This window comes from Homo sapiens, chromosome 4 (assembly GCF_000001405.40).
Source record: "Homo sapiens chromosome 4, GRCh38.p14 Primary Assembly".
Lineage (NCBI taxonomy): Eukaryota > Metazoa > Chordata > Mammalia > Primates > Hominidae > Homo > Homo sapiens.
The window spans coordinates 141,320,667-141,333,666 of record NC_000004.12 but is presented as its reverse complement, the minus strand read 5'-3'; the positions used below and the strand labels follow the sequence as shown (position 1 = coordinate 141,333,666).

Genomic DNA, 13,000 nt, shown 5'->3' with positions numbered 1-13,000 from the left:
CCCCCTTCAGCCCACCGCTGCACTGTGGGAGCCCCTTTCTGAGCTGGCCAAGGCCAGAGCCGGCTCCCTCAGCTTGCAGGGAGGTGTGGAGGGAGAGGCGCGAGCGGGAACCGGGGCTGCGCCCGGCGCTTGCGGGCCAGCTGGAGTTCCGGGTGGGCGTGGGCTTGGCGGGCCCTGCACTCGGAGCAGCCGGCCGGCCCTGCACTCGGAGCAGCCGGCCGGCCCTGCACTCGGAGCAGCCGGCCGGCCCTGCACTCGGAGCAGCCGGCCGGCCCTGCACTCGGAGCAGCCGGCCGGCCCTGCACTCGGAGCAGCCGGCCGGCCCTGCACTCGGAGCAGCCGGCCGGCCCTGCACTCGGAGCAGCCGGCCGGCCCTGCCGGACCCGGGCAATGAGGGGCTTAGCACCCGGGCCAGCGGCTGTGGAGGGTGTACTGGGTCCCCCAGCAGTGCCAGCCCACCGGCGCTGCGCTCGATTTCTCGCCGGGCCTCAGCTGCCTTCCCGTGGGGCAGGGCTCGGGACCTGCAGCCCGCCATGCCTGAGCCTCCCACTCCCTCAGTGGGCTCCTGTGCGGCCCGAGCCTCCTCGAGGAGCGCCATCCCCTGCTCCACGGCGCCCAGTCCCATCAACCACCCAAGGGCTGAGGAGTGCGGGCGCACGGCGCGGGACTGGCAGGCAGCTCCATCTGCAGCCCCGCTGCGGGATCCACTGGGTGAAGCCAACTGGGCTCCTGAGTCTGGTGGGGACGTGGAGAACCTTTATGTCTAGCCCGGGGATTGTAAATACACCAATCGGCACTCAGTATCTAGCTCAAGGTTTGTAAACACATCAATCAGCACCCTGTGTCTAGCTCAGGGTTTGTGAATGCACCAATGGACACTCTGTATCTAGCTACTCTGGTGGGGACGTGGAGAACCTTTGTGTCTAGCTCAGGGATTATAAACGCACCAATCAGCGCCCTGTCAAAACAGACCACTAGGCTCTACCAATCAGCAGGATGTGGGTGGGGGCCAGATAAGAAAATAAAAGCAGGCTGCCTGAGACAGCAGTGGCAACCCGCTCCGGTGTCCTTCCATGCTGTGGAGGCTCTGTTGTTTCGCTCTTTCTACTGCTTACTCTTCGGGTCCACACTGCTTTTATGAGCTGTAACACTCACCCTGAAGGTTTGCAACTTGACTCCTGAAGCCAGCAAGACCACGAGCCCCAGGGAGGAACGAACAACTCCAGACGCGCTGCCTTAAGAGCTGTAACACTCACCGAGAAGGTCTGCAGCTTCACTCCTGAGCCAGCGAGGCCACGAACCCACCAGAAGGAAGAAACTCTGAACACATCCGAACATCAGAAGGAACAAACTCCAGACGTGCCACCTTAAGAGCTGTTAACACTCACCGCGAGGGTCCGCGGCTTCATTTTTGAAGTCAGTGAGACCAAGAACCAACCAATTCGGGACACAATACCAACTCTTTCATGCCAGGAGAAGCCTCCTTAAAAAATTTCGGTGATTAACAGGTAAATATCACTTACCACCTGTGCTAAACTTACCAGTTATTACGTATACTACAGGATATTCTGCTGAAAATATGGGCAAATATAGGTGTGTAAAAAGTCCCAGTATTAGTGGGGTGGGGAACAGAGAATCTATGGCTGGTGATCACACCTGAAGCTACTATGTGCTTATTCCTGCTGGCTGACGTTTGCTGTGTGGCAAGTGCCTCTGTTCCTAAACACCATACTCTTCCTGAAATCTCTAACATGCTCACATCCGATTTCCAGGTAGAAGGAGTTAGGCATGCAAGCATCATGATTTTCTCAGCTAAGTGTTGACATGTCCCTAAAGTCTTCAGACAATTTTCTGTTCCTGTAAATGTTCCTCACCTATTACTCATGACAACTGTCCTCCTTTCATCCTCTTTAAGCTCTGCTCAAAGAAACCACTCAAAAGAAATTTTCATGAAATCAACTCACCAGGCAGAGAGTACCAGAGTACGCTGTGAGCTGGATCGGGGACAGCCTGTTTTGTCACCATTGTTTCATTAGCATCTAGTAGAGTTCTCGGTGCATATGTGCTCTAGGCACACTTAAGAGAGAAAAAAGAAATATATGCTCAGACCCTATTACACACACTCAAATAAAACAAATTTCTTTATTCATTTTAATAGTTTCTAAATATCATTATACTCTTCTATTAGTAGGATAATCTTCAGAAAATCAGAACTAAAAAGGCATTATTAGGATTTATTTTTAGAGTTTATAGTATGAGTGTTTTTTAAATTTCTCATTCTCGCTCCTTTGCTTTCTATTTACTATTTGTTGAGTATTTATTATATGTAAGAAAAACTATACTAAGTGTTGTGGATTTCATAAATTTAGTATTTAAATTTCCTGAAGATTCCAATAAAGGCTTTCTCTTTTCTTTGAACAAACACACTTAACCACCCCCTAAAAATCCACTGAGTAGTGTTTATACTGTCTTAATCTTTTCAGATGCTAAAAGCAACATATTCCTAAGCTGAGACATTCTCTACAGTAAAACATAATTTTTCCCAATTATAAGAAATTTAAGAGATGTTAGGGAAGAAACTATAAAGACGTATTTTATATCCAGAAAAGCTAGATGTTTTCCATTTTAGTTGATGTTATATATTCTGGGCACATTCCTGGACTGAAAAACAGAAGTATACTACATTTCTAAGACACATTCCCCAAAACAGCTTTACATAGAAGTTCCTGTGATCCTAATTACAACCCTATCAAGTAGGTGGGTGGGTATTAATAGATCACTTGGGGGTATGAAAATCATAGTGCAGACATACTGAATGACTTCTCCAGCATCAACAGGGAAGTAACAACAGCCTCTTTGGAAGGTAGCCCAGTACAAAGGATTTGAGAGTCATAAAACCTGGGTTTGAAACTGTGATTTGGTGAAATTACTTAATATATCTCTCTCTCTCTCTTTCCCCATAAAAAAGAAATTAGGTTGAACCATTTGAAATTTCCAATATGCAACATTTTCGACCTACAAAAATGGCAATTTCATGAGGTTCAACCTCATAATAATGTTAACACTTAAAAGAGTTGTTCTAAATGTAAAACCCAATACTATATTTAAAGCATCTAGCACGGAGCCTGGAATAGAGAAGTGCTAGACAAATGCTAGTTCTTTTTGTCCTTCCAGTGTCAGTCCTACAGCATCAGCACAATTCTGTCACTCATGTCTCAGCCATTCCTTGTAAGATTTTAGACAATGTAAAATACATTAAGTGTATTTTATTTTATAATATATTCACTAAAATATCAATACATTTTGAAATTTCAGGAGGTAAGAGAAAAACAAGCAGGTGTGTAATTACTGCTGATTTTGTAGCTTAATTCAGCAGTGCAAAGATTTTCCTGTCTACTTCCAAGCAGGGACATACCTGTCTTGAGCTTACACATTCACAGTAGTCTCAAAACCTAAACCAGGAGACTCTAGGCTTGCTTTTGGTTGCAGTTTAATAATACTGTGGATTAGTAGCCAAACATTTCTTTGAAACATTCAGTAAGAGCTAGGCAATACAGATCTGGTGTCTGGGTCTTCCAGGAAACTGACAATTTTAGGAAAGCCATGGAGGGGGGGAAAATGAAACAAGGTAAAGAGAAAGCTGTAAAATGAAGTTGATGCAGTACTGGACAAACCCAACACCCAAAATTTTCAGTTTCCATGTTCCTGCATTGTCCCTACCTTCATCCTTAAGAGTTTCAAGAGACCAAATGATCCAAAGAGCTAAGGACCCTGGATCCAAGAATACTGTTTTCCGTCTGGTAAGGACACATTTTTTTTTTTTTAATCTGTGAGCTCAACTTCCAAAGGGCATTTAAATCAATGAGAAAAGAAACAGACTATCCAGGGAAATCAATTCTAATAATCAATCGGGTAACAAAGGTCTAGCCATTTATATTCATAAAAGTAATTAGGAGTCTTGAGCGTTTAAGAACATGAATGTTTTTGTTAAAGGAAATGTACATTAATTTTCATATTAATTCATCTAAAACACAGATCTTGCTTTTGTTGAAATTATTTTCCCTCTTTCACTTTTTACCTCCTTTCTCCATGAGCATTCATTCCTATGGACTTGCTACAGTATACTAGTCACAGAGCCATCGGTCATTAAATAACTATTTACTGATTCTCCTACTTGTACTCACTATTTTACAGGCCAGATAAACATTAAAGAAAACTTTTGTAATGCTTCCTGATGTCTTTTTTATCCCCTTCCGTTAAACAAGAATCTCAGGGTTTTATAAGCTTGCAATATCCTCCAACAACGGTTGCCTAATCATCTGTTGCTAAATCAAAGCTTGATGAGATGAGCAGATAAAAATACAATCAGGGTGTGGTTATATTTCCCTCAGCAGAGGCCTCATATTGCACCACATTTGAAGAAGTAATAGACAGTGATTTTGTAGGCTGTCTCAGGCTCAGCTCATGTTCTGTTTGTGATAATTAGAACTTGTGAACCTCAAGAATGAGCAAGAGTTCTTTTTGCTTACTTCTGCTGTCCACACAACCAAAGGTCTATCTTCTTATATACGAATAGCAAGGAGAGCGGCCTTTGGAGACTGTGTGAAGCCAATCAAATAGGAAAGGCTCATTTATAGCATAGTTTTCAGCATGCTTCTAAACTAGTAGCTGTTCAGAACCTGGAAGAATATGAATCAAATTGCATATTTTGAATTGTACTAGTCTGAATCGACTCATTACTATGAATCTTGCAAATGTTCCCTTAAGCAATGAGGAAGGAGGAAATATAGAAAGTAAATCTACTTAGTAATATAAAAGGCAATACTAGCAAGGCCACACTCTCAAAGAAATTAATCGGTAAGTATTGATTTTTTACACTGTGTGAAGTTCCCATCCATGCAAACGACAACAAGGCCCTGTTGTTTGACAAACCATTTATTCAGGATCATTGGTATCGACTTGTAGTGAGTCAACAAAAGTAGGGAGTTCACATATTTTTTCTTCATTCAATAGAAAATACTGTGTCTCCTTGGCAACTGAGATTGCTTGGTTGACTTTTCCCTTTGCTTTCTACTTACAAGGTACAAACAATGAAGGAGTCCCACCACCTGTGACTTGGGTTCAGAAACAGATTTCTCTGCCTCAAATCACTGAAATAACCCACTTTGTGTGAGGGCGCAATTCTGTGCTTTATTAGATGTATATAGCATCTTTATGGTCAAGTCTCAGACAAATGATAAAAAGTAATTCAAATATAGAAAGTAGTTTTTAATGCCTGAGTTATGATTTCCTCATTCGGAGGCTCCTGAAATGCAAGTGAATAAGAATTATCACTCTTAACTAGCAAACAATACACTTTATTTTCAAACATAATCAACTTATGTAACGAAACAACTGAGTAAAAACATAAACACTTTTTCCCCATTAGGTAGAGTTTTCTCAGAACTCTGGAGTTGTGAAAATGACCCTAAGCTCAAGCAAAGAGGTGTAGAGTTACATCTCTCTTTCTACATTGGCATTGGTGATTAAAAGAAATCAGGATGAGCAGATGGTGCCTAAGGTACAAATCTTGAATATCCACTTTTCTGGAGATAGAATATCAAGTGCTGGTGTCGTCTCCCACCTCACCATTGCTGCTTTTCTCCCACTTCATTGATCTATCTCCTCCATGTCAGGCCCATGTGAGAGCTGAGGGCTTGGTTTCCTCTGATAGAAAGAAGACAAATACAGTTGACCTGGGGCTGTAGAACCAGAGGATTTGCAAAGGCATTATTGCAATCAATATCCAATCACATCAGTTTCCTTGTATATGTGCTACAGAGCAGTTCCCACTCTGTAGGTCTTTTGCTGGGTCACAATTTGATGTTTCATCTTTATACTCTAGGAAACAAGTGGACTCATGAATTTGAAGGGTTTTGTCTTCCTCTCTTAGAGTGGTCCTCTTACTCCTCTTCTCATTGGCCCCTAATTTTATTCCACCTGTGGAGACACTCCAGAATCAAGCCTCGGGTTATACTGGGTAGCTGACTGTGCAGATAGGACAAATCATGATTTGTAATCTTCCTTCACTGGTACCCTGCTCAAATACCAACACTCGTGTGCTTCCTATTGTTGAAGGTTTCACTCTGTAATACTAAGGGCAGTATTTGCTCCTGTACTAGGTTCAACAGTGTCCTTCAAAAATTCATGTGCACCCTAAACCTCAGAATGGGATCTTATTTGGAAATAAGAGTCTTTGTGTATGCAGTTAGTTAAATATAAGTTTACTCTGGATTAGAGTCAACCTATTAAGGACCTTATAAGAGGAGAGGACACACAGAGACATAGAAAAGAAAACAGTGTGACAACTGAGACAGAGACTGGAGTGACGCTGCCGCAACCACTTTCTTGCTAGGAAGAGGAAAGAAAGGATTCTTCCCTAGCGTCTTTAGAGGGGAGACAGCTCTGCCAACACCTTAATTTTGAACTTCTCATTTCCAGAATAGTGAAAAAATTAATTTATGTTGTTTAAGCCATTCAATTTTTTGTTTGTTTTACTTTCATTTACTTAATCTATTTATTCATACTACATAGATAATTATTTACTTTTTCTTTTTATTAGTGATGTCCTCTCACAAGAACTTAAGCTTCAGGAAAGCAAGGATATTTGTGTGTGTGTATGTGAGTGTGTGTTTGTATGTGTGTGTATGTGTGTGTGTGGTTTATTTCTATACTCTCAGTGCCTAGAATAGTGCCTGTCATGTTAGATGCTTAATTAACGTTTTGAAATGAATGGAAGGACAGGTAGATTACCTATATCAAAGCTCTTCATAGAACATTCAATTCCAGAAGATAATGGATAAATAAGGGGAAATATGGGACCCAATAATTTTATCCTCAGCCCATTCATGTATAAAAGCAATAGGAAAAGATTGTTAGATGTGAATGATCTCAGAAAATATAACATGCATGACCATGTTTTGAAAACCTTCCTGATAACAAAATTTACCCAACTAAGATGTGGTTCACAGTACAGAGCTTAAGAATGTGGAAGCTGCTTTCTGAAAAAACTAATAAAGTAAACATTAATTCCCTTCTAATTATGGCTAAGGCAAAAAAAAGAACTATTAATATGGCTTTAAATTTATCAAAAAGAATGCAAATGTTATAAATTATTAAGAAAAGCTGTACAATAGAAAAAGCAATAAGTATTATAAATTTGGTCAGTAGTTTTAGAACATAATAGTAAAAATCAGAAGGAACAAGATTGTCCTGTGTTCGTAATTTTTCACTCTGGGAGACTAAATTTTGTTGCCAAAAATCCTCTCATACAACATTGGTAGTAGTGAAAATTTGTTAAATCCTGTGAGAGGACAATTTGGCAATATCCATAAACTGTTAAAATATATACGAAAATTGATTGCAAAAATTATTCTAGTTTTTCACACTGACGCTAAATGCCCTACCACACATACCTTGGATTCAAGTTTGCTGGGGCCAATGGAATAGTAGCAAAAGACACAAGAGACTTGAAGAAACATTTACATGTTCCACCTCCTTTCCGTGGCCCTCAGTCTCACCATGAAAACATGCCCAGGATGGGCTTCTAGGAGAAATCCTGAGGCTTTCTAGGCCAGCCAACAGTTAGTCAACCCCCAAATGTATGGGAGAACCCAGCTAAGATCAGCAGCAACACCTAGCCAACCCACAGCTTACTTACAGCAGACATGTGAATCAATCTAGCCAAGACTAAAAGAATCACTAAACCAATATGTCATCCTATGAATAATAGTAAACGTTTGTCTTAAACTATCATATTATAGGAAAAAAACCTGATATATGAAATTACCCTGTGAGTTTATATTAAAGATACACTTACCTTCTCCAACAAGAGTTGTAACAATTTTTTTCTTATTGCAAACAATGCTATGGGGATACTTATAGTAGCATTTCTGCTCAACGTAATATTTTATTGTAGCACTGTTTGCAATAAGAAAATAATTGGAAACTGCAGAAACGATCACTAATGAGGTATGGGTTAAAAATCTTTTAAGTTGAAAGCAACAAATGTGACAATTAAAAGGCATAAATTAGACATATATTTTACATTATCACAACTTGTATTACTAAATGATAAAAATGAGTTGCAAAATAATATATAGAACTTTATATTTTATAAATATGCACATGAAAAAATGTTTGTAAGTATGCACAAACTGTTAACAGTTATTACTTCAGAGGAGTGAAAAATAGGTTGAAAATGAGAATGACTTTCATTTTTAGTATACTTAAGTACATTTTCAATTTTCAATTATATGCAGTGATTTTGTCCTTTAAAAAATAGGATGGACTTTTTTAAATATAAGGAAGACATTTTCTGTGAAACAATAAATTACTCAGTATATACTTAATGTGCATGAAGTATGAGGTAGGAATACATCCACTGACATTCTTGCATTTGCATACCACTTCCCCAAATATGAACTCACTTCTCTGACTTTGCTAGGGCTGAGGAATCATCATTACAATATCTGTAAAACTGGATTTATTAAGTGCATCCATATTGTTTATGAGTCATAGAAAATATGTTCATTTTCCTATCCATGTTAAAGGCTGCTTGGAGGATTGACGGAGCATTGCTTAGAAAATGTTCTGGAATTCAGATGAAGCTGTGTTAGTATAAATCATTACTGGTTACCATATACTCACACATACTTAGGGGATAAAGATCAGAAATTACTTAAATGTACTTTGTCTTCTTCAATCTTTCCGTAGCAGCACATGGGTCAAAATCTCCTGAAAGTTGAGCAGGGGAGCTGTAGAAGAATTCCTCCTTTTCTCGCAGATGAAATCTTATGATATAGCAGGGGTTACCTGGCCAAGAAGGTAAGTCTGTCATCCAGCAGTGCTTGCAGAGGGACTAAAATGAATTAGGATGTTCAGAGTTGTATGTTAGGTGCTGCAGAAAGGAAGAAAAGATCTCATCCATAAAGGGGTCTTTGACCCTGGGGAATGGCAGTTGGCAATTACGCTGCTTCTCAGTTCCATCCTGTGTTGCCCCAGGTTTACTTCATGGTCACCCAAACTTTCTTTGCCATGTCTTTTGTAAGACTTCTACTTATTACTATGTATCATCATCTTTTGGTAAATATAAATTCTGGCTAGGAGAACTAGGACAGACAGGGGAGCTGTCTGCACACTGTGATTAGGCATGCATCAATTCAGAGCTCCATGCTGCTAGCTCCTGTATTCTGCTGAGCTCCCAGGGAGGAAATAGGAAAAGGGAGGAGAACTCACCTGTCCAATTACAACCTACTCTGCAGTACAAAGTACTGCAAATTCCACACAGTGGATCTCTGTGATTGAAGGAGCACTTGTAAAATCTGAGACATCCTAGTTTTTGATTTGGTATCCAAAACAAATCTGAACTTTTAATTAAATATTGTTCTTTTTCCTTCTTGTTTCCAAATGAATAGTTACACCAGCAAACTTATTGGCTGAAAAGTTGTTTCCTACATTTGCACTTTGAAGTGCATCAGACAGTGGTGTGTTTGGATGTGGGTCTTGTTGAGTTTGGTTAGTGAGTTATTATTGGTTGGGATTGCAGTGGTCCTGCCAATGGAAGAGAAGTAGGTGTGCCGAGTACTGTCATGTTCACCTCCGCCTTTCACAGAGGCATATTTAGCCCTCAGTTGGTAAGTGAACTTTTTGACAAAGGTTTAAGAGGTCGTAGAGTCTGTGTAAAAGACAAAAGTCCAAAAGTGAAGCAGAAGGAATCCAGCTTCTTATTTATGTCTGGCATGGGAAGCTTCTGGATTTGATAGTGGGTGCACCGAAATTTGCATCCCAAGTCATAGCCTTTGCTCTGCCCTACCTTCTGGTATGTTGTTTTTCAAGTTACTTAACCTCTCAGGGCTGCAACTTACTTATTTGAAAAATGAATTCTAGAATCACAGAGTTGGATACAATCTTAAGGGCCAATTAGTCAAACTTTCTTTCCAGAGGTATTCTGCATGATCTGAAATGTGTCTCTGAACTATAGCTTCCTGAAATTTCATTATTCTTGTAGGAACACAGAGGAGAACAAAGAAAATTCAAGGAACTAAATTCCTTCTCCACCTCAACCACCAGCATTGATACTCCATCACTTATGTACTGCATCAAGCCGTCCTCAGAGGTGAGGAAGGTGCTGTCAAGACTAGAAGCATGTGTCCCTCTCTCCATTGCAAGATGGGACATAGAGAGGAGAAAAGTGGCAGACAGAAGGTTGGTAGAAAGCAGGTGTCACCATACTGCTGTACACACAAACTGTTAGGCCTAGATTTTGCTTTCTCCTTCTTGCTTTAAGCCTCTATCTAGTTTCCCAAATCCTGCTGCTTTTGCGTCAATGGTAGGAAAATATTAGCCATGATAACCCTTCAAACACCCTTATAAGGCTGTGAATTGAATGTACCAAGGGAGGTAACTTTATTGGAGTTGTCTCTGATAAGGGACAACTCCAATAAAATTAAGTAAAAATATTAAGATTATTGTTGATCTTGAGCCAAGAAAATGCAGGGGAAACAATGGAAAAATACCTTTAAATAATGAAAACAAAAATAAAATAAGAGCTGGTCTACTCACTACTTCATCCCATCTCGTCTGTAAAATAATACCATCAGAAAAGTGTTCAAAATTCTCTGTAGTCAAGGACTTCTCCTGCTGGTTAGAATGCAAAATAATATGAAAGACTTTTGATCCTCTAGTAATATACAAGTGTATATATATTTTTTGAGACAGGGTCTTGCTTTGTTGTCTAAACTGGAATGCAGTGGTATGATATTGTCTCACTGCAGTCTCTGCCTCCTAGGCTCAAGCAATCCTCCTGCCTCAGCCTCCCAAGTAGCTGGCACTATAGGCATATGCCACCATGCCTGGCTAATTTTTTTATTTTTTTGTAAAAACAGAGTTTTGCCATGTTGCCCAGGCTGGTCTTGAGTTCCTGGGCTCATGTGATCCACCTGCCTTGGTCTCCCAAAGTGCTGGGATTACAAGCATGAGCCAGCACACTCAGCCTACATTTTTCAATATGCATGAAATTATATGGTTTGGATGTGCTCATTTTACTATATTAAAGTATATTTCAATAAAAAGCCAGTAGGCATGAAAACATAATATTCTTTCATTTTTGTCTTCATCTGAAGTTTCAAGTTAAAAAGCAGGTTATTCAGTAAAAGAAAATTGCAATGTTCTTCTCCAGTGCCAATTAACCAATCTCCTCAGACAGAAATATCTTCAGATGGTGCTAATGCAAATCTCAATTTAAAATCATTTTAGAAGACTGAGACCATGCCCACAAATGCTTCAGAATGGGAGGTGCCAAGACTTTCAATCACACAAAACCCTGGCACTTACTTTGTTGTGTTATAATCCAGTCTTTCTGCACCTAAGCTTCCTTCATAAAAGACAATCCAGCATCATGGTTAAAACACAGACTTTCTACCACTACTACTTACATTCTTGGTGACAGTGGGCAATTTAGCAGACTTCTCTGTGTTTTAGTTTCCTCAACTTTAAAATGGGCACTGTTATAGGTATAATTGTGTCCTACAAAAAGATGTTGAAGTCCTAACCTCCAATACATGTGAATATGACCTTATTTAGAAATAGAGTCTTTACAGATGATCAATTTAAGATGCGGTCATTAGGGCAGGTCCTAATCCAATATGACTAGTGTCCTTATAATAAGGGAAATTTGGACTCCAGAGATAGATATATACCAATGAGAGACAATGTGACACAGGGACCACACCTACAAATCAAGGAACATCTGAGGCTACCAGAAGTTAGGAGAGAGGTCCAGAACAGTGCCACATAGCCCTCAGAAGGAATCAACTCTACCAGCACCTTGATTTTGGGCTTTTAGCCTCCAGAACTGTGAGGCAATAAATTTCCGTTCTTTAAGCCACCCAGTTGTTGGTACTTTATTATGGCAGCCCTAGGAAATTAACATAGGGAATGATATGGTTTGGCTGTGTCCCCACCCAAATCTCATCTTGAATTATAGCTCCCATAATTCCCACATGTTGTGCGAGGGACCCAGTAGGAGAAAATTGAATCATGGGGGCAGTTTCCCCCATACTGTTCTCGTGGTAGTGAATAAGTCTCACAAGGTCTGATGGTTTTATAAGGGGAAACACCTTTGGCTTAGCTCTCTGATTCTCTCTTGCTGCCTCCATGTAAGAAATGTCTTTCACCTTCCACCATGATTGTAAGGTCTCCCCAGCCACCTGGAACTGAGTCCATTAAACATATTTTTCTTCCCAGTCTTAGGTATGTCTTTATCAGCAGCATGAAAATGGACTAATACAGGGACCAATGATTGCATCTACCTCATGGACTTTTTATGAGAATTGACTGATTTAATAAATGTAAAAGACTTAGAACACTGCCTCATCTATTGTAAACAGTCAATAAATATTAGTATCAATTTTCATTGAATCCTAATCAGTATAACTATAATGTTACATTCATGAATAAGACAAAGGCTGGGACAAAATAAATGAGACACTTCACTCAGACCTCTTCATTGTTTTCCCAGTTGTCATCCTTTGCACCTAGTTCTGTAATTAAGAGAGTCTTCTCAGCTTTTTCTTAAATCATGTATTTTCCTCTAGTATGGCAACTTTATAATATGTTTCCCCCACTTGAAAATGTTTCCTCCTTTTTCCCACAGTCCAATCCCCCCATTAACCCAACCATCTCTCACATACATACCAATTTTAGGTCCCAAATCTCTCAGATCTCACCCTATTCACAAACCAAAACTTTATCAGAAAGATCTAAAACACTTCCCCCAAAGGCATTTTTAATCACCAATAAGGTGTTCTCACTTTCAAGGATAGTATAATGTGAATGGACATCAAAGTCTTAAGATCAAGAATATACTCTACTATTAAAGAGTTCTAACCATAAGCTAGTGGTTAATACAGTTTTAGAGGGAAGAGGATAAGGAAAGCAGACATTGTCTTTCCTCTTTCCT

General features: G+C 40.0%; 1 long non-coding RNA gene across 1 annotated transcript, besides 1 other annotated feature; it reads left to right on the top strand.

The window, feature by feature from the left end:
* Positions 956 to 2,155: an enhancer, noted in NCBI's record as "BRD4-independent group 4 enhancer chr4:142252666-142253865 (GRCh37/hg19 assembly coordinates)". NCBI's record gives its function as "activates an origin of replication core promoter dependent on BRD2, P300/CBP, MED14 and CDK7 cofactors, and independent of BRD4, by STARR-seq in HCT116 cells {active_cell/tissue: HCT116}" and the evidence as "EXISTENCE:reporter gene assay evidence [ECO:0000049][PMID:35650434]".
* LINC02432 (long intergenic non-protein coding RNA 2432) lies at positions 1,050 to 12,543 on the top strand. The gene is made up of 4 exons (NR_121625.1): positions 1,050 to 1,508; positions 8,755 to 8,865; positions 10,049 to 10,245; positions 12,286 to 12,543. It is a non-coding gene; the product is annotated as a long intergenic non-protein coding RNA 2432 (long non-coding RNA).
* Positions 12,544 to 13,000: the final 457 nt, after the last annotated feature.